The following is a 27,628-nucleotide window of genomic DNA, read 5'->3' as shown; positions in this document are numbered from 1 at the left end:
AAGGAGGCACAGCTGAAAGGAGGAAGGACCAAGAGATAGGCAAGAATAATCCAGCCCAGTGATGCTCAAATGCTTCTTTGCATCAGAATCAACAGGGGCTCTTCAATCAAGATGACTTGGACACCACATTACCAGAGATACTGATGCATTAGCTCTGGAATTGGGACCCAAGGGTCTTTCTTTTTCTTTTTTTTTTTTTTTTTAAGCGGAGTCTCACTCTGTCACCCAGGCTGGAGTGCAGTGGTGCAATCTTGGCTCACTGCAACCTCCGCCTCCCGGGTTCAAGCAATTCTCTTGCCTCAGCCTCCTGAGTAGCTGGGATTACAGGTGCATGCCACCATGCCTGGCTAATTTTTGTAATTTTATTAGAGATGGGGTTTCACCATGCTGGGCAGGCTGGTCTTGAACTCCTGACCTCAAGCAATCCACCGGCCTCTGCCTCCCAAAATACTAGGATTACACGCATGAGCCACCATGCCCGGCCCTGCCTTTCAATAAGTACCCCCAGAGATTCACACACACAACCCGTTGGGGAACCAAAACAGAGCCAGCTCTTCTGGGATCCTTGTCTTATTTGTCTAGTAAATCCAACACAGGAACATCTGAACCTAAACCTATCAAGAAATATAAGACCAACTGCCCAAATCTCAAAAGGATCAAGTTCAGGATTCATTTACATAGAAAGCCCTAATACATCTCAGTATTTGTTAATAAGACCTTAAATGAGATTTGAGATGAGGGCTCAGAGAGGCTCAATGCTAATTTACAGATCAGAAATAAAGATAAAGATCCCCCGAGTAGTTCCAATGTAAATTAATGAGAAAAAAAAAACGATTTCTAGTTTCTGAGAAAAGCATTAGTCTAAGTGAGGAGTGCATTCAAACAAGCCACTGGCAGAGTTTACGAATGTTCTCTACACAGTGGGCATGAAACCAGAACCATTTTTGCTGTCAGGAACCTTGCCTCTGGAATGCTGTTAGGATTCTACTGCGGATGGAGGGAGGAGAGGGCAGAAGCAAGAGAGGCAGAAATTAGTGATTGCCTCCTGCTTTTTCTGCTAAGGGAGCTGTTCTTACAGCCAGGCAGAGTGCTGAGAGCCTCAATGACGCCTCTGCCCCTCCCCTTCACCTCTCACATTACCTGTGCACGGCAGAGAAAGCGCTTGACAAGTATTAGTATTATTACCATTAATTAAGTGCTTACTATGCACAAACTCATTTGATTTTCATAAGAAGTCCATGAGGTGGCCAGGCATGGTGGCTCACGCCTGTAATCCCAGCACCTTGGGAGGCCCAGGTGGGAGGATCACTTGAGTTCAGGAGTTCAAGACCAGCCTGGCAAACATGGTGAAGCCCTGTCTCTACTAAAAAATACAAAAATTCGCTGGGCATGGTGGTGCATGCCTGTAATCTCAGCTACTCGGGTGGCTGAGGCAGGAGAATCGCTTGAACCCGGAAGGCGGAGGTTGCAGTAAGCCAAGATCGTACCACTGCACTCCAGCTTGGGTGACAGAGTGAGACTCAATCTCAAAAAAAGAAGTCCATGAGGTAAGAACTCAAGTTATTAAATTATTCTCAAGCTACAGATAAGGAAACTAAGGCCCAGAAAGGTTAAATGACCTGCCTAGGGTCGTGAAGTAGACTCACTTTGAGGTAGAACTGGGTCTTAAGCCCGGTTCTGGTTGACACCAAAGTTCTTAACCTCATAGCAACTCCTTATGTATCTGAAAACAATCTTTTGGACATTTCGTTAAGTTCCCCTGTTTATGCTACTCCAATTTACTCTTGCCAACAATACCCTGTTACTGGGGGCAGGGCGTACCCTCATCACTGGTTTCGCTTATGCTTCTTCAGTGGTATGCTGGTATGTTTAACAACTGGCTCTCTGGGTGCAGCGGAAACCCTGGTTTGTAGCACTTGCCAATTTCCATGGTGTAAATACTCTCACCATAGCCAATTTCAAGCAGCTAGCATGACATCACTAAGTCGGAAGCTGGGAAGTAATGTGCACATTCAGCTCTCATTGAGCTGGTATGAGTGAAACAAAACAGAAATATGCATATACATACTTAGAAAGTTCTTCCATTTCCTCTTCATAAAGCTTCCTTCGTTCCTTCAGTTCTTCTGGAAGGAATTTAGCTATGAGCTCCTCCATTATTACATTTTTGCTGTATTTTCTTGATGCCAAGCACTACATGGGGGGAGGCAATTAGACAATATGCAATTAGGTAATACGTAGCAATCAGCAAAACACTTCTGATGTAATCAGTGAACAAGTCAAATGACCCACATATTGGAGTAATCTGGACCCACAAATTAGCAGCTGTTACCATCATAATATATGTATTTTCTGGATGTTAGTTTCATTTAAAAAAACACACATGCAATTGATTATCTTTATAATTAGAAAAAAATTTTTAACAAGGGGGTAAAACCTGCATTGAAGTTTTAAAACTCTCACAGTTTTTCTGAAACACTGAAATCAAGATCATGTTCTTGTCCAAAAAGTAGGGTGGGGGGAATTCTTCCCTTTCCATTTTCTGATGATTGTATTTACAAGCTCACAGAAATTGTCTCCATCTGGGATATGCTCAAAGTTAGTGGCCAAAAGTTTCAGGGAACTAAAAAGCAATTTTCAATCACTGAACCTTTCCTGCCCTGTCCCACTCCCAGCCTAACCCAATGCTTGGCTTCTGGATATTGCCAAATATACCTATTTTTTCTCTTTTAATTTTAGTTTAAAAAAACACAAACAGCTAAATATTGATTTGTCTATTTGCCTTTCTAATATACCATCTAGGTATCACTGAGATTAAAAGTCATGATTTCAAGAACTGGACTCAGGCTCAATTGTCACTGTTACTCTCCTCCCAAACACCCCTGTCCGATGCATACCCAGGGATGTTTAGGTAGTGGGTATTTAACGGTGTGAATCAAACAACTGATGTTAAAACATCTGCAGAGAATTGCTTGCTATGGAAACTACCCCTACAGTCCCAGCAGGGGGAGCGCCTGAGTATAAAACTGTTGGCTTCAAACAATTTTGTTCCTTTCTCAGTATGGGCTGTGTCTCTATTCTGCAGTGAAAATGATTGGAATATTTAATTCTATGTAAAATGGTGCAAGTGTGACCCTATGTGAATAAACAGAGATAGATGAGAATATCTTCTAGACCCCAAGTCCTGAACTCTATAGCATCTGTCTCCAGGATGCCTTATCTGCCACTGTCACTGCCATTGCCTGGCTATGGGAAAATCAACTGCATTTCCCAGTCCCAGTTGTGGGGGATAAGCATTGACTGAGGAGGTAGTCAGTCTAAAAAGTAGGTGACTCCTCTGCTGATACTAAAACAAAAAGCCAGAAAAGGCACATACTAAAATGTTAACTAACAGTGGTTTTCTCTAGGTACTGAGCATATGGGTAGATTTTTCTTCTTTCCACTTAATCTGAATTTTCCAGTGCTACAACAACACAGATGTATTATTTCAGTATAAGGATCAAGGACTTCTCACCTACAATCAGGCCTGCAAATCCTACAACTTTATCCAGGGAAAGGTATGACATTGACCCTCCTCCCAATCCCAACGCATACCCTCAGGGCTACCAGTGATGATGATTTCACTCCATTCCCTTAATTTAAATACTGGGGTGATGGTAAAGCTCAACATGTGACTTCTCTTGACCTGTAGTCACCTAGAGATAGCCTTGCATCTCCAACCTCTCCTCAGGAATGACAGGGGTCAAGGAACATTAACACCGATTGTAAAATGTGGCAGATAAGTCCCTGAGGGAGGGAAAACAAGATAGATTCTCAGGTCTTCTTTATCTGTAGGAAATTCCTTCAGGTTCACTTGAAAAACAAAGGTGGGAGTTTGTGTGATTAGTTTTAGAGAACCTGGAAGTCCTAGAGGGCTGCGGTCTGCAAAAGCTCTAGGGCTTCCAGGTACAGTGGCTCCTGATGGGTTGGACAAGGATCACACTGAAGTTCTGTGAGGTTCTTCTGGGGCCTTTGGAGCTGTTATCTTCAAGCCACAGAATAAACACTGATGATAAGGGAACATCAGGGCTTACCTAGTCCAATCCTAGAGGGGACAAAAGATTTACTCAAGATTACAGTGTATCAGGTGCCACGATGACATTAGAACCAGGATCCAAGTTTATCATCTATTTAATACTTTCGTTTCCAACACAAATTAATTTCCCTACTTACACTGCATAAAAAGCTGCATGTTGCCTCATTTTCCTGAAGGACTTTATGGAGAGGGGGACAGTGGCTATAAGACAGGAGAAATAGGCTGGGCGTGGTGGCTCATGCCTGTAATCCCAGCACTTTGGGAGGCTGAGGTGGGTGGATCACCTGAGGTCAGGAGTTCGAGACCAGCCTGACCAATATGGTGAAACCCCATTTCTACTAAAAATACAAAAATTAGGCCGGGCGTGGTGGCTCACGCCTGTAATCCCAGCACTTTGGGAGGCCGAGGCGGGTGGATCATGAGGTCAGGAGATCCAGATCATCCTGGTTAACACGGTGAAACCCCGTCTCTACTAAAAATACAAAAAATTAGCCAGGCGTGGTGGCGGGCGCCTGTAGTCCCAGCTACTCGGGGAGGCTGAGGCAGGAGAATGGCATGAACCCGGGAGGCGGAGCTTGCAGTGAGTGGAGATCACGTCACTGCCCTCCAGCCTGGGCGACAGAGCGAGACTCCGTCTCAACAAAACAAAACAAAACAAAACAAAACAAAACAAAAATTAGCCGAGCGTGGTGGCATGCGCCTGTAATCCCAGCTACTTGGGAGGCTGAGGCAGGAGAACTGCTGGAACCCAGGAGGCGGAGGTTGCAGTGACCCGCGATCACGCCACTGCACTCCAGCCTGGGTGGGAGAGTGGAGACTCAGTCAAAAAAAAAAAAAAAAAAAAAGAAGACAGGAGAAATAGATGGTTTGAGGGAGTAATGTGCCCTACCACAGTGCCGTGGCTGGGGGTCCAGTTGAACACTGTCTTAGTGCCCAATTCCAAATAAACTAAACAAAACAAGAAAGAAATACTGATTTAAACCAAACAAGAAAGAAATATTGATTTACCTGTGAAAGACCGTCTTTGCACAATGGACACTTTGCGTTGTGATCTAGGCATCTTTCTAGGCATTTTAAGCAAAAAGTATGCCCGCAAGGTGTTGTGACTGGCTCATAGAATAATCTGAAATTTAGGAATCAAAATGGAAGAAAACTGCAATAAGACCAAAAATAAAAGAGTGACTCAAAGCTAAGTTTTTAAAGCATTATTTAGAATATTTTAGGGTGGGGGAGGAGTTCTTTTTAAAAAGTCGCTATTGTTATACTTCAGATAAACATTTGCCTTTCATTTTTGAGCTGGATTAAAATACATTTATTAAAGTTTAGGGCATAGCTAGATCATTTTGTAACATCAATTCTAGTCTATCTCTTCTGGGGAATTCAGATTTTTTGCCCTGTCTGGTCCAAGAAAAATAGAGATTAATGCACAGAGTGTCTGGATAAATTCCATTCCGAAAATATTTAGCCAACCTGTTCACCTGAGTATATGTAAACACACACACACAAACACACACACACGCACACACATTCTCTCTCTTACACATTTACCCATTTAAGCACTTTACATCATATTACCATGGAAAAAAACCGTTTGCTAACCTTGATTCCTCTTTTCGTCTAAGCAATGTTAATGCCTGAAGGATATCAAAATTGTACCTCTAACAAACATAACTGCCTTTTATATAGATAATTTTCATAGGGGCAGGAGAATAGTATTGTTAGTGTGCTTACTGATATAGACTAGATATGGATCTATATTGATGCATATACACACATATATACATACATTTACATGTGTACATACATATATATACATACATATACTTCAATTTGGTACTATTTTAATTGCTTGGGGAGAACAGGATATTTTCAAAGCAATGTGGGAATCCTTTTATAAATTTGTTCTGTACCTTCAGAAATTAATGGATTTGCTTTGCTTAAAAAAAGGCTCACCTGCAGCGAGATCAGTGAGTGAGGGTAGCTGAAGATGACCGTTGAGGAGTGGGGCTTGCACTCACCAAGAGGAGCAGCACAGGAAGAAGGGAAAGACCCCTGCCTGACCAGCCTATTTTCACCTCACAAGAGTGTTCAGTGGAGAGTCAGAGGCTGCCAGCTGCACGGCTCCCTCGTGTGGCCAGGAGGTGCACCAGCAGCCTGGCCAGCACTGCCAGACTGAGTAGAAGAAGCAACATGCCAGCTGAAAAGTACTTGAGAAGAAACTGAACCCACTAACTAGAATGAACCTGAGGTCCACAGGGGTTGAAGTTACTTGTCTAAGTGCGCACAGCCAACTGTTGACAGATGAAAGTCTATCCAACTTCCACTTCAGTCATGTGCCTTTTCTATTACAACAATAATTCTCAACCATTGCTGTGCATCAGAATCACCTGAACAGCTTTATCTTTAAACAGCTTTACTGATGCAAAATTGACATAAAATAAATGGAACAGACGTAAAGTGTACAATTTGATAAGTTCTGACATATGTACACACTTATGAAACCATCGCCACAATCAAGATAGGAAACATACCCATCCCTCCCAAATGTTTCCTCATGCCCCTTTGTAAGCCCTCCTTCCTGCCTCCCCCAGTCACCTGGGGAGCCTATGAAAACTCTAGATGCCCACTACAGCACCTACAGAGATTCAGATCAGTAGGCCCAGTGTACAGGACAGGCATCAGAAATTTTTTTTAAGCCTCCCAGTGGTTTTAATGTACAGCCAAGATTGAGGATCACTGTGTTACACAATCCCATTAATCTCTGCATAGGCAAACTTACTGTATTGGTCTTCAAATATCAGTTACGTGTGGAGCAAAAAAACCCATACATTGTGAAGCTCCACTGGCTAAAGTTCCAGATTCAGCAGGTCAAGGAGACCAGCAGAAATGGGATATTTTTAACAAGCCAATGGAGGTCTGGAGGAGGAGAGAGACTTTTCATGTATTCAACTTTTTGGTACTTTTTGAATTTTATGATTCTGTTTAAAAAGTAGTTAATTTGTTTAACAAATTAATTAAAACTAATAAATTTTAGTTATCAAATTGGCCAAAAAGCAAAGTTATTTAAAAAAGAAAAACTATTTACTATGGAGGTCTCAGTGCACTAAGGCAAGAAAAAAAATGAGAACTGGAGAGGAAAAAAACAAATCTGTCATTATTCACAAATGATATGATGGTGAACTTAGAAAAATCTAAAAGAATCTACAAATGATTATTAGAATAAGAATGGAATTAACAAAGTTACTAGATAAATACACACACACGTGCACACACAATTATAGTTCTATATACCAGCAATAGACATTAGAAATGTCATCATCTTAAAGATAACATTTGCAACTCCTTTTAAAAATCAAGTGTCCAGGAAGAAATCTAACAACAGTTGTAGGAGACCTCTATTGGAAAAAGCTACAAACACCTCATTGAAAGAAATTAAACAACTAAGTCCCAATAAAAAACCTCAATGGGTTATTTCATTTGTTTATTTTTGTAGAACTTGACAAGTTGATTTCTAAACTTTATAAGGAAAAGCAAAGGGCCAAGAGCCAAGATACATCTGAAGAGCAACGATGTGGGAGGACTCACTCTACCAGATTACAGAACATATAAAGCTGCAGTGATTAAAACAGTATATGACTAGCACAAGGACAAATAGACTCGGGGAACAGAACAGAAAGCCCAGAAACAGATCCAGACGTGGATTCTTGATTTATGACAAATGTGCCACTTCAAAGCAGATGGGGGAAAGATTTTCAATACATAAATAGCATTCTCAATAAATGGTATTAGGAGAGTTGGCTATCTATAGGGGGAAATGAAATTGGATCATCTCTCATATCATTCGCAAAAATCAATTCCATGTGGGCTGTAAAAATAAATGTGAAAAGCAGAACAATAAAACGTTCATAAGATGAAATAGCCAGGCACAGTGGCTGGCACCTCTAATCCCAGCTACTTGAGGCGGGGGTGCTGAGGCAAGAGGATTGCTTGAGACCAGGAGTTTGACACCCCATGTCTCAAATAAATTAATTAGTCAAATAAAAGAAAATAAAGATAAAATAGGAGAATATCTTTATGACCTGAAGGTAAAAAAAATGAATTCTGACCCTGTCTATAAATGAAAAGATTGATAATTTTGACTGTATTAAAATGAAGAGCTTTTGGCTGGGTGCAGTGGCTCACACCTGTAACCCCAGCACTCTGAGGCTGAGGCGGGTGGATCATCTGGGGTGAGGAGCTCAAGACCAGCCTGGCCAACATGGCAAAATCCCATAAAAATTAGCAGACTGTGGTGGTGCATGCCTGTAATCCCAGCTACTGGGGAGGCTGAGACAGGAGAATCGCTTGAACCCAGGAGGTGGAGGTTGCAGTGAGCCGAGATTGCACCACTGCACTCCAGCCTGGGCAACAGAGTGAGACTCCATCTCAAAATAAAAAAAAAATAAAAAAACAAGAAGAAGCGCTTTTAAGTTCATCAAAAAATGTCATTAAGAGGGCAAAAAGGCAAGCCAGAGTAGGAGAAGGTATCTGCAACACATACGACTAGCAAAGAACTTGTATCTAGAGCATACATAGACACCCTAGAAGTCAGTAAGAAAAAGAGAAGGAAGCGAACAGAAAATGAACAAACACTTATAAGCACCAGCAGATGTAAACAATGTTTATAGCAATGTTGTCCATGATATCCCCTAACTAGATACAATCCAAACATCCATCCATAAGAGAACTGATAAACAGACTGTGGTGGATTCATATAATGGGATATTATACAATAATGAAAGTGAACAAACTTTACCTATATGCAATAACATGGATAAATCCTAATACTGAGTAAAAGAAGCCAGATTGAAATAATAAATTCTGGATAATTCAGTTTATATAAAGCTTTTACATAGGCAAAACTAGATTGCATCGCCTAGATACACATATTCGGGTAGTAAAGCTAAAAAGAGAAACAAGATAAAAGTCAAGATAGTGGTTGGGGTAGGGAGGATAGTCCTGATTGGGAAGAGGCATATGGGTAGCTTCTTGGGTCCTGGCAATATTTTACTTCTTGAACTGAGAGGGGTTACATAAGTATCTTCTCTACAATATTTTGTTAAGAGAACATATTTATATTTTATGCACTTTTCCACTGTGTGTATTTCACAATTTAAAATGTTTTTCAAAAGTGTGATTTGGAACCACTGCTGTGATCTAATTATCAGAGCAGCCAAACCAAAATATCTCATTTCCTTGGTAACTTAGTCCTGTGAATCTGAATGCCTTATATTATTTGATGGTACTAATGATGAAGATGATTGATGAATCTGTATCTACAACTAATATGCAAAACCATTTTTCCTGAGAATTTTGCAATTGGGCCTATTGTTCATTTAAGAATGTAACCTAATGTAATCTATCTAAAATAACAAAGATATAGCTGGCTAATTAATTGCAATAAATACTGACATTTAGTGAGCAGATGAATAAAACACACACAAAAGGACACAGCAATCTCTTAGCAAAAGCTGTGATTAAAATGCCCCTGACTGAGTGGTAGCAAACACAAATGCGGCCACAGATGCTGCATAATTATTCCTTTGAAATAGTTCAGGGTTCAGATGCTTAGAATACATTACACTTTTCAATACTCAATTCATTTCTATATTTAGGGCTACTCTGCTTCTCTGCACAGCCAAAGTGACTGGAACAGATGGAATATATTTTTCTGGCTGTATTTCTTGGTGTGTCAATACTTAACTTTGTATATTAAGAGGTGGTAATTATGATTAGCTTCATTATACTATTGAGAAAATTTAAACCCAGACAGGTTAAAATAACTTGCCTAAGATCACACAGCTAGCTGGTAAGTAGCAGGGCTTTGGGATGTCAGGTCAGATCTGACTCTCAAGCCCATCTTTCTTCTTCACTCTATGATGCGGCAACAAATGTGTGCATGTATTTCTGCATCCAAATAGACATCATCCATCTACATGTAGATGCACACACTCATATGCACATTTTCCTCCCTCCCTCTCTCCTCTCTCCCTCCTTCTGAAAAAGAGAGAGACAGAGAGAACTTGACTAGAATTTTTTTACCACTTTAGGTAACGATTTCAGAAAACACATCCAAGAGGTATTTATAAATCAGAGCAGGGCCAGATTTTCACACAAAAAACATTTTACATTGTTACAGTGATGGAGTAAACAATAGCAATAATAAATGCTTTCAGTTTGATGTCAGCCCAGATAAAATGTTTGGCTTGTCTGGAAATAGCTATCTTTTCCCACCAGTTACATCCTTGTATTGTTTTCTTTTGCTATCAAATGAGAGCAAAGAGGAAAGGAGGAGGAGAGGAGGGAGGGGAGAAGGAGAGGGAGAAATAGGGAGAGAGAGGGAGGGAGGAAGAGAGAGTGACAGTGAGAGAGAGAGAGAGAGAGAGAGAGAGAGAGAGAGAGAGAGAGAGAGAGAGAGAGAGAGAGAGAATGAGAGTGAACTGACAAGATCCTTAACACCAAGCTACTTGAGTAGCTAAAACTAGGTTAAATATGAAGCTTCTTGTTAGAATTGACAAAGAGGTCACTGGGCCATTAGATAACTGGTTCAAATATCAAACATTCTTACTGCATATCTCAAAATGTCTTTGTCACCCCAAAAGTTCTGCTCCATAGCAGCCCCAGAGGTGGCCCCCAATGGCTAAGGTAACCACACGAGGCAAATATCAAAGGAGAATTTGCAACCACTAAGGATTGAGGAGCAGAGTTCTTAAGGGTTGAAGTTAGGGGGTAACTTCTCTCAACAGAGCTCCCCCAGTTCAGCAAGGGAGACCTGGAGATTGGAATGGTCCTCACTTACACACCTCCGATTATTGTTCCATTCACTCTTTTCACCCTTTTCCCTGTGGAACTTACAACCTGCTTCTCCTAATTTTCTCTCTAGAATCCGTGTATACAAATTCATACTCTAACTTGTTTTTCTACCAATGCAGCACCATGAAACTGGATTTCATACTAAAATCTTGCACAAGTAGTACAAATGTCTAATTTCATGACCTCCACAGATTGTTTCAGACACTTTCTTTACTCTCAGACACTCTCCCCCAAGGACACATGAGGGTAATAAGAGAACCAATCATATTCCTAACAACAAGAAAGAGAAGAAAAACACTGGAGAGGTGGAATCAAAAGCTTTGTCAAGGCTATCATAATTCAAGCTGAAGCATGTGTTTGAAATAGCCTCTGTCAACATCCAATGTCTAACTTATAGACAAACCCTGTTGGAAAGGGAACTACATGCTTCTGACCAATGGCTGCAGTTTTCAGAACCTCAAGATCCAAAGTTCTTTCTAGATTTAGTAGGTTTCTTATCACCATCAAGCAGTGAGAGGCCAGCTATAACTTAGCAGTGTATGCAATGGCTACTCCAGGCACAGAGGGTTTTGTTTTGTTTTGTTTTGAAGTCTCACTTAGAACGGAGGGGCAGGATAAGGGAAATGATGGCTTTTAAATTTCGAGTGAGCCAACTGGAAGGGGGTCTTATCCTCTTGGTGTTTATTTCTTGGACCAAATTTTGAGACCTCCTCCAAAGCCCCCTGTTGAGTTCAAGGACAAACAAGATGAAAGGGAGAAAGCAGAGGAACAAAAGAACTTACACCTCAGGATTCTTAGTTTTCAGAGAAAACACAAACAGGATGAGTCTGTATGTTTGATTTCTTGTCCCCTGGATGTTGGAGGGAGTGTTAAGAAGGATACGCACAACAAAGACCTGGTCTCTGAGCAGGCTAAGTCAAGTCTACTCCACAGCGCACATCATGGGCTTAGAGCCACAACGGTGTTACCTGCAGGAGCCCATTGCTCTGCCTGGAAGCAGGATTTCTCTATCTTCTACCTTGGCTTTGCCAGAACCCACCTGCCATTCTATCATGAGGGGGTGAGGGAAGTAGTGAAAGGAACCTGCTCATTTAGCCCCTCCCACCCTAGCCCACTCCACCCACACCAACTCCTGACAGCATGGGAGGCTTGCTTTGAGTGCTTCAACATTCCACCTGCTGAGCTGTTTGTTATCAGGTCTGCCAAAGCTTATGAGAAAATCTGGCACCTAAAATTTTTTTTAAGAGAAAGAAGGTCCACATTTCAGGTAACGGCTGTGTTACTCGTTTTCAGTCATCCAACAACGATCATTCAGAATACAAATGCACATGATCGATATGAGAAGCATATGTGCTCATAAAGGGCGAGGAAATATCTGAGCAGTTTCTGCTCGCTGGATCCCACCATGTAGTGTATGAAAATACTTTTTTAGGGCCAGGCATAGTGGCTCACGCCTGTAATCCCAGCACCTTGGAAGGCCAAGGCGGGTGGATCACCTGAGGTTAGGAGTTCAAGACCAGCCTGACCAACATGGTGAAGCCTCATCTCTACTAAAAATACAAAAATTTGCCAGGCAGGAGGCTGAATTGCCTGAACTGGGAGGCAGAGGATGCAGTGAGATGAAATCACACCACTGCACTCCAGCCCGGGTGACAAAGTGAGACTCTGTCTCAAAAACAAAATGAATTTAACTTTATTTTTAAAAATGAAATAAATAAAAAGACTTTTGTTATATTTTCTCTTGGGTCAATCTTCTTAATTTCTGTTTTTAATTTATTTTATTTTTCCGTAAGTTATTGGGGTACAGGAGGTATTTGGTTACATGAGTAGGTTCTTTAGTGGTGATTTCTGAGATTTTGGTGCACCATCACCCGAGCATTATACACTGCACCGTATTTGTAGTCTTTTATTCTTCACCCCCTTCCCACTTTTCCCCCCAAGTCCCCAAGTCCATTGTATCATTCTTATGCCTTTGCATCCTTATAGCTTAGCTCCCACATATCAGTGAGAACATACAATGTTTAGTTTTCCATTCCTGAGTTACATCACTTAAAATAGTCTCCAATCTCATCCAGGTCACTGCAAATGCTGTTAACTTATTCCTTTTTATGGCTGCATAGTATTCAATTGTATATATATACCAGAGTTTCTTTATCCACTCGTTGATGGGCATTTGGGTTGGTTCCACGATTTTGCAATTGTGAATGTGTTGCCATAAACATGCATGTGCAAGTATCTTTCTTGAATAATGGCTTCTTTTCCTCTGGGTAGATACCCAGTGGGATTGCTGGATCAAATGGCAGTTCTACTTTTAGTTCTTTAAGCAATCTCCACAGTTTTCCACAGTGGTTGTACTAGTTTACATTCCCACCAGCAGTGTAGAAGTGTTCCCTGTTCACCACATCCATGCCAGCATCTACTGTTTTTTGAGTTTTTTATTATGGCCATTCTTACAGGAGTAAGGTGGTATCTCAATGTGGTTTTGATTTGCATTTTCCTGATCATTAGTGATGCTGAGCATTTCTTTATGTTTGTTGGCCATTTGTGTATCTTCTTTTGAGAATTATCTATTCATGTCCTTAGCCCATATTTTGATGGGATTGTTTTTTTCTTACTGATTTGTTTAAGTTTGTTGTAGATTCTGGATATTAGTCCTTTGTCAGATGTACAGATAGTGAAGATTTTCTCCCACTCTGTGGGCTGTCTGTTTACTCTGCTGACTGTTCCTTTTGCCATGCAAAAGCCCTTTAGTTTAGTTAGGTCCCAGCTGTCCCAGCTATTTATCTTTGTTTTTATTGCATTTGCTTTTCGGTTCTCGGTCATGAAATCCTTGCCTAAGCCAATGTCTAGAAGGGTTTTTCCAATGTTATCTTCTAGAGTTTTTATAGTTTCAGGTCTTAGGCTTAAGTCCTTAATCCATCTTGAGTTGATTTTTGTACAAAGAGATGAGGATTCAGTTTCATTCTCCTACATGTGGCTAGCCAATTATCCCAGCACCATTTGTTGAAAAGGGTGTCCTTTCCCCACTTTGTGTTTTTGTTTGCTTTGTTGAAGATCAGTTGGCTGTAAGTATTTGGGTTTATTTCTGGGTTCTCTATTTTGTTCCATTGGTCTATGTGCCTATTTTTATACGAGTACCATGCTGTTTTGGTGACTATGGCCTTATAGTATAGTTTGAAATCAGATAGTTTGATGCCTCCAGATTTGTTCTTTTTGCTTAGTCTTGCTTTGGCTATGCAGGCTCTTTTTTGGGTCCATATGAATTTTAGAATTGTTTTTTTTCTAATTCTATGAAGAATGATGGGGATTGCACTGAATTTGTAGATTGCTTTTGGCAGTATGGTCGTTTTCACAGTATTGATTCTACCCATCCATGAGCATGGGATGTGCTTCCATTTGTTTGTGTTGTCTCCAATTTCTTTCAGCAGTGTTTTGTAGTTTTCTTTTCTTTGCTTTTTTTTTTTTTTTTTGAGATGGAGTCTAGCTCTGTCGCCCAGGCTGGAGCGCAGTGGTGTGATCTCTGCTCACTGCAAGCTCCGCCTCCTGGGTTCACACCATTCTCCTGCCTCAGCCTCCCGAGTAGCTGGGACTACAGGTGCATGCCACCACGCCCGGCTAATTTTTTGTATTTTTAGTAGAGACAGGATTTCTTTGTGGTAGCCAGGATGGTCTGGATCTCCTGACCTCGTGATCTGCCTGCCTTGGCCTCCCAAAGTGCTGGGATTACAGGCATGAGCCACCGCACCTGGCCTGTGTTTTGTAGTTTTCTTGTAGAGGTCTTTTGACTCCTTGGTTAGATATATTCCTAAATATTTTATTTTTTTGCAGCTATTGTAAAAGGGGATCTTGATTTGACTCTCTGCTTGGTCACTGTTGGTGTATAGAAGAGCTCCTGATTTGTGTACATTAATCTTGTATCCAGAAACCTTACTGAATTCTTTTGTCAGTTCTAGGAGCTTTCTAGAGGAGTCCTTAGGGTTTTCAAGGTAAACGATCATATCATCAGCAAACAGTGACAATCTGAGTTCCTCTTTACTGATTTGGATGCCCTTTATTTCTTTCTCTTGTCTGATTGTTCTGGCTAGGACATCCAGTACTGTGTTGAAAAGGAGTGGTAAGAGTGGGCATCCTTGTCTTGTTCCAGTTCTCAGAGGGAATGCTTTCAACTTTTCCCCGTTCAGTATTATGACAAACCCACAACCAACATAATACTGAAAAGAAATCAAAACAAAAATCACATGATCATCTCAATAGATGCAGAAAAATCATTAAACAAAATCCAGCATCGCTTTATGATTAACACTCTCAGCAAAATCAGCATACAAGGGACATACCTTAATGTGGTTTTCTTTTTTTGGTTGTCCTTTCCTGGTTTTGTTATTAGGGTGATGCTGGCTTCATAGAATGAATTAGGGAGGGTTCCCTCTTTATCTTGTGGAATAGTGTCAAAATGATTGGCACCAATTCTTCTTTGAATGTCTGGTAGAATTCTGCTGTTAATCTGTCTGGTCCTGGACTTCTTTTTGTTGTTGTTAGCAATTTTTAAGTTATCATTTCAATCTTGCTGCTTGTTATTGGTCTGTTCATGGTATCTCATCCTTCCTGATTTAAGCTAGGAGGATTGTATTTTTCTAGGAATATATCCATCTCTTCTAGGTTTTCTAGTTTAAGTGCATAAAGGTGTTCATAGTAGCCTTGACTAATCTTTTGTATTTCAGTGGTGTCAGTTGTGGTATCTCCTGTTTTATTTCTTAGTGAGGTTTTTTGAATTTTCTCTCTTCTTCCCTTGATAAATCTTGCTAATGGTCTATCAATTTTACTTATCTTTTCAAAGAACATTTTTTGTTTCATTTATCTTTTGTATTGTTGTTGTTGTTTCAATTTAATTTAGTTCTGCTCTGATCTTGGTTATTTCCTTTATTCTGCTGGGTTTGAGTTTGGTTTGTTCTTGTTTCTCTAGTTCCTTGAGGTGTGACCTTAGATTGTCTGTTTGTACTCTTTCAGACTTTTTGATGTAGGTGCTCAGGGATATGAACTATCCTCTTAGCACTGCCTTTGCTGTATCCCAGAGGTTTTGATAGGTTGTGTCATTATTGTCATTCAGTTTGAAGAATTTTTTAATTTCCATCTTGATCTTGTTTTTGACACAACGCTCATTCAGGAGCAGGTTGTTCAATTTCCATGTTATTTGCATGGTTTTGAAGGTTCCTTTTACAGTTGATTTCCAGTTTTATTCCACTGTGGTCTCAGAGAGTACTTGATATAATTTCAGTTCTCTTAAATTTAGTGAGGCTCATTTTATGGTCTATCATATGGTCTATCTTGGAGAAAGTTTCATGCACTGTTGAATAGAATGTGTATTCTGCAGTTGTTGGATAAAATGTTCTGTATGTATCTGTTAAGTCCATTTGTTCCAAGGCATAATTTAAATCCATTGTTTCTTTGTTGACTTTCTGTCTTGATGACCTGTCTAGTGCTGTCAGTGGAGTACTGAAGTCCCTCACTATTATTGTGTTGCTGTCTATCTCATTTCTTAGGTCTATTCGTAATTGTTTTATAAATTTGGGACTTCCAGTGTTAGGTGCATATATGTTTAGGATTGTGATATTTTCCTGTTGGACAAGGCCTTTTACCATTATATACTGTCCCTCTTTGTCTCTTTTAACTGCTGTTGCTTTAGAGTTTGTTTTGGGCCGGGTGCAGTGACTCATGCCTGTAATCCCAGCACTTTGGGAGGCCGAGGTGGGTGGATCATGATGTCAGGAGTTCAAGACCAGCCTGACCAACATGGTGAAACCCAGTCTCTACTAAAAATACAAAAATTAGCCGGGCATGGTGGCACGTGCCTGTAATCTCAGCTACTCAGGAGGCTGAGGCAGGAGAATCGCTTGAACCCGGTGGCGAATGTTGCAGTGAGCTGAGATCACACCATTGCGCTCCAGCCTGGGTGACAGAGGGAGACTCTGTCTCAAAAAAAAAAAAATTTGTTTTGTCTGATATAAAAATAGCTACCCCTGCTCATTTTGGGTGTCCATTTGCATGAAACGCCTTTTTTTCACCCCTTTACTTCAAGTTTATGTGAGTCTTTATGTGTTAGGTGAGTGTCCTGAAGGCAGCAGATGGTTGGTGAGTTCTTATCCATTCTGCGGTTCTGTATCTTTTAAGTGGGGCATTTAGGCCATTTACATTGTTAGTATTGAAATGTGGTGTACCGTACCGTAGCATTCATTGTGCTCTTTGTTGCGTGTGTACTTTGGTTTTTGTTTTTGCTTTTTAACTTGTATTTTTGTTTTATAGGTCCTATGTGATTTATGCCTTAAAGAGGTTCTGTTTTGTTGTGTTTCCAGGATTTGTTTCAAGATTTAGAGCTCCTTTTAGCAGTTTTTGTAGTGGTAGCTTGCTAATGGCAAATTCTCTCAGCATTTGTTTGTCTGAAAATGTCTATCTTTCCTTCATAAGTGATGCTTAGTTTCACTGGATACAAAATTCTTGGCTGGTAATTGTTTTGCTTGAGGAGGCTGAAGATAGGTCCCCAGTCCCTTCTAGCTTTTAGGGTTTCTGCTGAGAAATATGCTTTTAATCTGATAGGTTTTCCTTTATAGGTTAGCTGGTGCTCTGTCTCAGTTCTTAAGACTCTTTCCTTCATCTTAACTTTGGATAATCTGATGACAATGTGCCTAGGTGAGGATCTGCTTGTGATGAATTTCCCAGGTGTTCTTTGTGCTTCTTGTGTTTGGCTATCTAGGTCTCTCACAAGGCCGGGGAAGTTTTCCTCGATTATTCCCCCAAATACATTTTCCAGACTTTTAGAATTTTCTTCTTCCACAGGTACACCGATTATTATTAGGTTTGGTGGTTTAACATAATCCCAGACTTCTTGGAGGCTTTGTTCATATTTTCTTATTCTTTTTTTCTTTGTCTTTGTTGGATTGGGTTAATTTGAAGACCTTGTCTTCAAGCTCTGAATTTCTTTCTTCTACTTGTTCAATTCTATTGCTGAGACTTTCCAGGGCATTTTGCATTTTTAAAAGAGTGTCCAAAGTTTCCTGAATTTTTTATTGTTTTTTCTTTAAGCTACCTATTTCCATGAATATTTCTCCCTTCACTTCTTGTGCCAGTTTTTGGATTTCCTTGCATTGGGCTTTGCCTTTCTCTGGTATCCCCCTGATTAGCTTAATAACTAACCTCTTCAATTCTTATTCAGGTAAATCAAGGATTTCTTCTTGGTTTGGATCCATTGCTGGTGAACTAGTGTGGTTTTTGGGGGGGGGTGTTAGAATAACCTTGTTTTGTCATATTACCACGGTTGGTTTTCTGGTTCCTTCTCATTTGGGTAGGCTCTGTCAGAGGGAAGGTCTAGGGCTAAAGGCTGTTGTTCAGATTCTTTTGCCCCACGGGGTGTTCCCTTGATGTAGTACTCTCCCCCTTTTCCTATGGGTGTGGCTTCCTGTGAGCTGAACTGCAGTGATTGTTGTCTCTCTTCTGGGTCTAGCCACCCATACAGTCTACCCGGCTCCAGGCTGGTACTGGGGGTTGTCTGCAGAGTCCTGTGATGTGAGCCATCTATGGGTCTCTCAGTAGATAGATACCAGTGCCTGTTCTGGTGGAGGTGGTGGTGGGTGCAATGGACTCCATGAGGCTTCTTAGCTTTGGTGGTTTAATGCTCTATTTTTGTGCTGGTTGGTCTCCTGCCAGGAGGTGGTGCTTTCCAGAAAACAACAGCTGTGGTAGTGTGGAGAGGGACCAGCGGTGGGCAGGGCCTTAGAACTCCCAAGATTATATGCCCTTTGTCTTCCACTACCAGGGTTGGTAGGGAAGGACCATTGGGTGGGGGCAGGGCTAGGTATGTCTGAGCTCAGACTCTCCTTGGGCAGGTCTTGCTGCAGCTGCTGTGGGGGATGGGGGTGAGATTCCCAGGTCACTGGAGTTGTGTACCTAGGAGGATTATGGCTGCCTTTGCTGAGTCATGCAGGTTACCAGGGAAGTTGGGGAAATACAGCAGTCACAGGCCTCACCCAGCTCCCATGCAAACTGAAGGGCCAGTCTCACTTCCACCGTGCCCTCCCCAACAGCTCCAAGTCTGTTTCCAGGAGGAGAGTGAGAGGGACTTGAGAACTCGACCGAGGCTATTTGCCTCCCAGAGTATTTGGGGTGTCTCCTGGGTCCTGCAGAAGCAACCCGCTTCCTTCAGAGGGACTGTGGGCCCTCTCGGGATTGCTGGTTTGTTCTTTAGTCCATCTGGAGCTCCACAGCCCTCCCCGCAGGACCCGCCAGCACAACGAACAGCAGCCTGCCAACCGTCTTAATTTTTGTGCAAATATCTCAGCCTCCTTTTAATGCTCTTTTGGAAAACAGACACATTTGTGAATCTGCTAAAGGATGTGGACCTTGTCCTGGAAAACCCACATACTTTAACATACAACTTCGAGACATTAATACATCTATTAGAATCCATATATAGAACATCCTCAGAGGTCCATAGACCCAAAGTTTCCTTCTGGACCTCTGGTCTACAAGGAAAAAAAAATAGTTAACATTTACTGAGTATCTATTATATGCCAGGCACTATTCCAGGTGTTAAACAGATTTTTCTCAATTAATCATGACAACCCTATGGAGTAGGTACACTGTTCTCTATTTTACTGACAAGAAAACAGTAGCAGAGAATGTCACTTGCTCCATCCAGGTCAACAGCCAGTAAATGACAGAGCAGGGAGCCTCTCCTCTAAGCCAGTAAGTCACAGCTGTGAAATCAAAGACATGTAAGCAATTTTAAAAAATTGTGTATGGTTACACACACCATAATCATAGCCTCTTTCTTTTGGGGTGGGGGAGCATGTGAATAATTTGCCTCTCCAGAGATCTGAGAAAGTAGAGATGATGTGGCACTGTTTGGTGGGGAGATACTTGGCTAAGTATCTCAGGCCCACCACTAATATTCATGGCACAACACAAAACAAAAGCTAGTCAGGCCCACCACTTGGCTTCCCAAGAATAGTCTGTGGTGGTGACAGTAGTCCTTGAACTTTGAGCTCTTGCCCATGTAACTGAGATTAGTGCTGGGATCCAAAATTTAAATTATCTCTAGGGGCTAAGAATGTAATGCAATTGTGACACACAGGTTGGAATAAGGCAGGTGGGTGGCGGGGGCGTGGTCAAATGGAGAGTACATGTCCTGTCTCAAGACATTCACGTTTAAGAAAAACAAACCCCATGAGGGCCAAACAAAAGACATATTCAGACTGGGTGCAGTGGCCTGTAATCCCAGGACTTTGGGAGGCCCAGGCAGGCAGATCACTTGAGCTCAGGAGTTTGAGACCAGCCTGGGTAACATTGTGAAACCCTGTCTCTACTAAAAATACAAAACTTAGCCAAGCGTGGTGGCACAGGCCTGTAATCCCAGCTACTTAAGAGGCTGAGGCACGTGAATCGCTTGAACTGGGGAGACAGAGGTTGCAGTGAGCTGAAATCGCACCACTGCACTCCAGCCTGGGCAACAGAGCAAGACTCTGTCTCCAAAAAAAAGACATAAAAAAAAAAGACATATTCAGACATATTCAGCCCAGTGGGCCATCAGTTTGTGACCTGTGAATAGACTGTTCCCTTCCCACTCTCCAGGTTTTTCCAAGTCAGGAGCCAGGAATGCAGGGAATGCAGTCTCTGGGAAGGGGACACAAGCTGACCCATGTGACAATCAACGTTGTGATTTCCATTCCGTTAGAGCTATGCTTTTTACATGCTAACCAACCCAGCAGTAGGTCACTAGCAGAAAGGTCCAGACACCAGAGATGAAGAAACATCAGGAAGTAAATGATAGTACACAGGACGTACCTCATACATAGAGCGCATTCAAGGTCAGATGCGTCGAAAGATGCAAGTGGTAAACTGAGAGCAGGTTTGTCCCCCTGATCAGTGGGAGGATCTGCGATTTAGAAAGCAAGAAGTCAGCGCTGGAGCCACCCCGGTTTCATAGATAGTACTTCTGAGGCAAAATAATCCAATGCGTTTTTCAGTTTGCCACTCTCACCACCACCTCCCAGAGAGTTGATTTAGTGGACACCTGAGCCGTTGAGAATGGGACACTCAGAAGTAGGCTCTCAGAGGTTTCCAGCAGGCCCAACAGAAAGAGAAATGCAAGTCAAACAATGTCCAGGAGCCCTGGGGACTTCATTCAAATGCAACATGCACCTCTGTCAACAGCAGAAGCTACAGCAACTCAATGGACTGAGCCAGGCCTTCAAAGCTAAAACTGAATCTTGGCACTGCCAACCTCTCGTGGAAAGATAGCAAGCCACAGCTGCTGCTTCTCACATGCCTACCTATGGGAACACAACTGGGAATGAGCAGGGTGAGGCCTGACCTCACTTTCCTCATCCTGCATTCCTAGAATGGGGATGGGGGTAGCAAGAGGCTGACCTAGAAGGAAGTGGCATCCCCATGGGTATGGGATGTCATTAGTTGATACTGTGCTTGACCTGATGCCTTGGCTTTCCATTATATTAATAATTAGTATTGAACACTTTTTACAGTGTGCTAGGCACTGTACATGATCTCACAGAAGCCTCATAGCAATCTCTGAGGTCACACAGCTAGTAAATGCCAGAGCTGGGCCCCACACCCAGAGCCTAAGGAGCCCCCAGACAGAGGTAAGTAACTTGTATATATTGGTGAGCCCGGGGATCTCCTCCAAGCTACCTTCTCTCTGGGTAGAGCCAGTACCTTGCTTGGAGGCTTTATTAGGCATCCCCGTTTCTTCTTGGGATTCAATCTGGCAATGTTTCCTTTTCTTTTCCTGGCATTTTCCAGTCTTGCTGGAAGCAGCTTTTGGAGAGGTAGCATCCCACTTCTCCTCCTCTTCTTCCTGGTCTTTCATGTGGTGCTGCTGACCATCCCCCTTCACTTTAGCTGGGTCCATCAGACTGCTGCCATCTCCCCTGGCTGCTGCTTCCTCCTGACTAGAACAATGTGGGAGCTCCAGATTGTCCTGGATGAAGAAAGGGCCACATATCAGAATCTTCTTAGGACTAATATTGTCCTCTCATATTCCTACCCAGAGGAACAAAGGGAAACTATAGAGTCCTGATCCCCACCCCGAACTCATAGTGGACACAGAGCTCAACTTGGGGGCCGTCATAAGGCATTATTTCCTACTTCTTTTCTGCACAGTATCTGCAACCAAGGCATTCCCAGCTTGGGTGGAGTTAGGGAACTTCCTTAGGCAAGGACAGGAAGGTATGTAGGAGGAGAGCCTCCTTGGGCAGGTGTAAAAAGGGGAAATGCCAGGGATAGGCACCAGTTCCCCTTCCTATAAAATCCTTCCCCAGTAACCACTTTAGCAAAACCAAGGCAGGCAGTGACGGCAGATCCTGTCACTCAATAGTTCCTCTCGCCCTCACTGCCATTCACGGCCGTCTGCGATCCCCAAACTCCAGCTCCAAAAGGACTTTTGGTAGGGCTTTGGCACAGGTCTGTTCACAGGCCTGCCAAGTTACCTCATGCTCCAGGTCTGTATGTTACACTGGTCAAATGAACAAGGTACAAACTATTCCTTTTACTAGATTTGGGGTGAAAAGCATTAAAAAAAAAAAAAAAGACAAAATCACCTGGCAAAAAAAATCAACAATGTCTCTAGCCTTTTCAAGAATATTTTCCCAGGAGATGGATATTTGAAAAAGGATTTAGAAATAAGTGCAATAACAACATGTTTATGCAGATTTACATGGAGAACCCCTCTCTAATCTAAACCCATAGTCCATAGGTCAAGATACTCATCGTGTTGTTTCCCTCTAACCCTACCAAAAAAAAACTGGCAGACAGGTGAAAAAGGGGAGCATATAGCTGGGAGAAAACAATGAGGTGAGGACAAAAATAATGTGGGTTTTCTCTGTGTCTAACTTGGGAGTTGGGGTTTTCTCCAGCACTACAGCAATACTACAACCTTGACTTTCCATGAACCCAAGGCATTGGCCACTCAGGAGTATACTGCTTTGCAAAGCAAAGTTTGGGTGGAAATCCAATCCTTGTTCCCCAGCTGGTTGACATTGGAAAGCCAAGGTTGCTGTTTTTCTTCTTTTCAGATGGAGCTGCAATTAGAAGTCACTCCAGGCATTTGGGTTCAGTATTAGCATTCTCAATCATTTAATAGTGATCTTAATTATTGAAATCACTGGGGGTTCTGTGATTTCAGGAGATCCTCTAAGTTCTGCCATTTTTTAAGAAAAGTTGGGCGCACCTGCATTTCAGTCCTTTTATGAGAGCCCAGGGCTTACACACAGGAGAAGAACACCGGGCATGAATGGAGGGAAAACTGCCCCCTAAAGATGCCCAGGCATTCAGTGCTAAACTCTGCCTTGGAGTCTGCGCTTCTGATCCTCAACTTCTGACCACTTACCCTCTGCCGGGAAAGCCAGGGCCTGGAACCCATCTCTCTTGTGTTCTGTTTCCTGGTTTTCAAAGAAAGGTACAAATACCTGTCTTCCTCCCAGGTCCTTCAACTCAACTTTCTTTCCAACATCTCTTTCCTCTTCTCTGTTACAAATACGTATTGGAAGCTTACTTATGTATAAGGCATAGTGCAGGAATATGAAATTACATCCATTTGAGGATCAGAGTTGTCTTTGCACAGGATAAGTGCTGGCACTCAAAGGCCAGCAGCTTGAACAAACAAAAGCTCGAAAGGAGGGATTGTTAGGCCCTCTTCCCAGACTCATCCCCAAAGCCTATAAACCCACCCAAATGGTATGGCCCAGGGGCAGTGAGCCAATTCCTTTCTAGCTCTGTAAAATCTCTCTCGGCTGGATCTAACCAAGAACTGGAAAAAAATGTATCCTAGCACTTTGGAAGGCCAAGGTGGGAGGATCACTTGAGGCCAGGAGTTCGAGACCAGCCTAGGCAAAAATGGTGAAACCCCGTCTCTACAAAAAAAAAAAAAAAAAAAAAAAAAAAACTTAGCCAGGCATGGTGGCACGTGCCTATAGTCCCAGCTACTCGGGAGGCTGAGGTGGGAGGATCTCTTGAGACCAGGAGTCTGAGGCTGCAGTGAGCCATGATCATATCACTGCCCTCCAGCCTGGGTGATAGAAAGAGACCCTGTTTCATAATTTTTTTTCAATGTAATGAATAAACTCTGGGACCATGCCTGAAATTCACAGTTGCATCTTTAAGAGGTTCTTTGCAAAGAACAGAACCACTAGTGACTCAATTTCTTCTTTCTCAGGAACCAAAATAGGAGAGGGAGGGCTCACTCCCCACGTTTGCCCACAAAACAGCCAAACGAAGCGTCACGAGCGAGCTGGGTGAGTTGAGTTTTACCTGTAACAACCTTGGTAGATTATGGCTGGTAACTTCAGTAGTCATTGACTCTACGTTTTCCTTTAATCTAGGGTGAGGTGCCAACAGCTTCAGGATATCGGGAGAATGTTCCTGAGAATCCCCCGGGACTGATGGTGAAAAGAAACTAAGGAGAAGCTGTGACATAAAACAGAAGACTTCACTACTTAAGTTTCTACAGGTGCCCAGGTGAAGGGGAGGAGGGTGAAGGGGGGAGGGAGCCAGCTTGCAGGGCAGAACTCCAGGGAGGAAGCCTTGGACCAGTGTCCCTAACACACCACACCAGGGCAGGGGTCCTCGCTTCAGCGGGCATCAGAATCAACTGGGGAACTTATGAAAAATCTAGGTCTCTACTTTGTACTCCCATCTCCCCCAGGTCTGGAGTGTGGCCCAGGAATCTGGATTTTGAGAAGGCACTACAGATGCCTCTGTTGCCTAGCCAAGGTTAAGAGCCACCATGCTAGTGCTAACACTCCGCAGAAATATCTGCAGTGGGATTTTAAAACTCATCTAGGAGGAAAGAGACAGAGAGGTAAAGTCAGGAGAGAAACCTCACTTGGGGAATTTGAAGTTCATAATACCTCAGTGGGTAGAAGTCTACAAATGTCTTCTAGGATCCTCACTGTTTCTTTTCTCCACTACCCATTTTGCTTCCTCCTCTCCCCACCATCACCCCTGGATCTTTAATCCCTTCAAAGCTGGGAACCTGAGCAGTTAACTGTTAGGAAAAACAGAACTCCAGCTTCCTCCCTCTTCTCCCAACCTCGCCTCCCCTATGCTGGCCTTTGCCTCCCAGAGGATGTTAGGTTAAGTTTAAGTACTAGGCGCAAGGAGGTTCCAGTCTCTTGCTGGTTTCCCTTGCAATTGGATAAGCTGGGAGGGTAGACGTGCGTTCTAATGTAGCTTGCACCATTCACTGTCCACATTCTTGCCCCAAGTTTCCCCTGTACTAGCAAGGATTGTGTGTGTGTGTGTGTGTGTGTGTGTGTGTGTGTGTGTGTGTGTGTGTGTTTCCATATACTGAAACATGTAACACAAGGAGAGCAGGTGACTTTGCTTCTAAAACCTGCTCCAGTGCTTACCACCCAGCAGCTCCTGCAGTGTTTGGAGATCCACTAAAGGAAGCTCCAGTCCCGTGCTGAGGGTACATAGTTAGGGTATTAATTGATCAACAAAATTTGACAGAACACCAAACTCCAGTTTGATTTATTCTCTGGCCCCCAGCAATCTCTTCATGATGTTCCTTCAGATGCCAGCACTTGCCATGAAGCCAAACCCCACTCAGCCTTCAAAGCTCAGCTCAAGTGCTACCTTCCCTCACTATTCCAGTCCTGTTCTACACAGTAGTAGAGAGTGCACCATAATATAGCATCTTGAACAACACCACGTTATGTTATCCTAGAAATGTGTCACAGATGTAAGCCTTTCTCTCCTGCCAGACGGCCAGCTTCTAGAGGGCACATAACAGATACCCAATAAATGCTCATCACACTGGATGGAATTGAATTAAGACACTTATCCACCCCAGGGCCCAGGGAGAGGCCTAGCATTCAGGCCCAAAGTCCTCAGATTGATCCTTATGTTTCCTTTCAGCTCTGAGAAACCCACTTTCCAGTTATGAGTTGGCACAGGAGTTAAATGGGGAGGTACTCACAGCACCCGGGGCCATAAATGCCAGCTTTCAGAGGTCCCTCCTCCACAGGAGCCAAGGTTGGTCCTCTGAAGCCCTAATGCGTGACTCAACAGGACCAAGCCAGTTCTGAGGAGGCAGTATCCTTGGAATTCTCCCAAAAAGAGCATAATACTCTTCAGTGGCAGCCACACAGCATCACAAGGTGCAAGGATGAAAGGGCAGAGGGTGGTGGGAAGGAAAAGAAGGCCAAGGGAGAAATCAAAGGAAACAAAGCAGAAATAATAACAGCAGTTCCCTTCTTCATTTTACTACTTGAGATCTCTCTCTAGGCCTTCTCAATGGCATTGGAAAACAAAAGTTGGGGTCAATTCTCAGTGAGAATGATCATTCCACATGAATGAAAGTCAATTCCACTTCAGCCTCAGCCTTAGAAAGGCCCAAATAGGTCAAGAAGAGGGAAAAAGAATCTGCAGTAAAAACAAACATTAAAAAGAAACACAGCCTGTGAGTTCGAAGGCAGCTTATAAATGTCAACTGAACCTGCATCATCTCTGTCAAATCTTTAGCCCTGAAACTGGAATGATCTAGTAAATAAACACAACTGAGGACTCTTGATGTTCTGAATCGCCGCCATGGCCTCATCACACCCAGTGGAAATTCGCCTCTAAATTCTCGCCCTCACTTCAGAACTCTGTAACACTCATCACGGGCATACACTCGCTTGCATCATCTGGCATTTATGTTAACAAATGCAAGATTGTTAAGTTCCTTGAAGACTAAAACTGTGACTTATGCCTCTTTGGGTCTCCAGAGCTTCACACAATGCCTTGCCTCCAACCATTAGGCAGCTGTGGAAATGACAACAGTTTCTCTATAAAAGCAGACTGGAGAGACAGGTCAGCCCAACTGATGACACCAAAAACATCTCAGGCTAGCTGGGAAATGGACAAACAAGAGTCAAGAAACCATTCCTCCTTGGGTCTGAGACCTGCCTCTGCTGGCCTTTGCACGCTCCGTCCCCAAAGATAAGTTTCTTCTAACTGCCTTTGTTCATCCTGGAACTGGAAAGTTCCATTGCTACTATTGATCCAGCTTCACCAGTGAGTGCTAAGGCTGTGGCCATGTCCTCATGGGAAGCAGGATGGCAGAGCAGCTAAGAGGCCAGGCTTTGGAAGCAGATAGACTTGGGTTTGAATACTTTCCCACCAATCACCAGCTGCATGACCTTGGGAAAGTCAGCAAGCCCCAGCTTCATCTGTCTCACCTGTAACCTGAGGATAACTAACCAAACCTAGCCTCAGGAATGTAGTGGGATTTAAATAATATACTCCACATAAAATGCCTAGCACAGTGTATAATGCAGAAGAAATTCTCAACGAATGTTAGCTATTATTATTATCATTACATCATGGACTACACTTAAGATTTGGAGAAGGGTCCACAGCTTGAAGCAATTCTCCCCGAACCGTGCTCCTCTCAAGCACACCTTTTTCACATACTCAAACCAATTCAAAGCAACTTCCCAGAAAGGAGATCTTTTGTGAGACAGAAAATCCAGGGCCAGTTCCCTTATTTCATTGATTTTGCTAACTATTCCTTTCTAGAGCCTTCAGAAACCAGTTCTGTCTCTTGCTCACTTTCTTTATCCACTGCTCTGCCAAACCACACTGGGACAGAAACCGTAAGGCTCCGCGGTGAATAGTGGGTGGGGCACAAGGAGAGCAGAGACAACCGCCAACTGT

The 27,628-nt window shown here is 42.7% G+C and overlaps 1 protein-coding gene across 10 annotated transcripts in view, besides 1 other annotated feature; it reads right to left on the bottom strand.

Annotated features, from left to right (window-relative positions):
• The window catches only part of LONRF3 (LON peptidase N-terminal domain and ring finger 3), a 43,742-nt gene that overhangs the window by 7,040 nt on the left and 9,074 nt on the right, over positions 1–27,628 (bottom strand). For 4 of the 10 annotated variants that reach the window (XM_005262476.3, XM_047442517.1, XM_011531398.3 and 1 more), the window contains exons 4-8: positions 24,236–24,391; positions 21,644–21,908; positions 20,756–20,846; positions 5,081–5,195; positions 2,069–2,190 (exon numbers count right to left, since the gene is read on the bottom strand). In XM_005262476.3, coding sequence (XP_005262533.1) covers positions 2,069–2,190; positions 5,081–5,195; positions 20,756–20,846; positions 21,644–21,908; positions 24,236–24,391 — 749 coding nt within the window. Of the gene's footprint in view, positions 1–2,068; positions 2,191–5,080; positions 5,196–20,755; positions 20,847–21,643; positions 21,909–24,235; positions 24,392–27,628 lie in introns of those variants that run through there. The other 6 variants (NR_110311.1, NM_024778.5, XM_017029845.1 and 3 more) reach the window with 3 other exon arrangements.
• Positions 18,194–19,393: an enhancer, noted in NCBI's record as "CDK7 strongly-dependent group 2 enhancer chrX:118125886-118127085 (GRCh37/hg19 assembly coordinates)". NCBI's record gives its function as "activates an origin of replication core promoter dependent on BRD2, BRD4, P300/CBP, MED14 and CDK7 cofactors, with strong dependence on CDK7, by STARR-seq in HCT116 cells {active_cell/tissue: HCT116}" and the evidence as "EXISTENCE:reporter gene assay evidence [ECO:0000049][PMID:35650434]".

This window comes from Homo sapiens, chromosome X, assembly GCF_000001405.40.
Source record: "Homo sapiens chromosome X, GRCh38.p14 Primary Assembly".
NCBI lineage: Eukaryota > Metazoa > Chordata > Mammalia > Primates > Hominidae > Homo > Homo sapiens.
The sequence above is the reverse complement of the archived record's forward strand: the minus strand, read 5'-3'. Positions and strand labels throughout refer to the sequence as shown.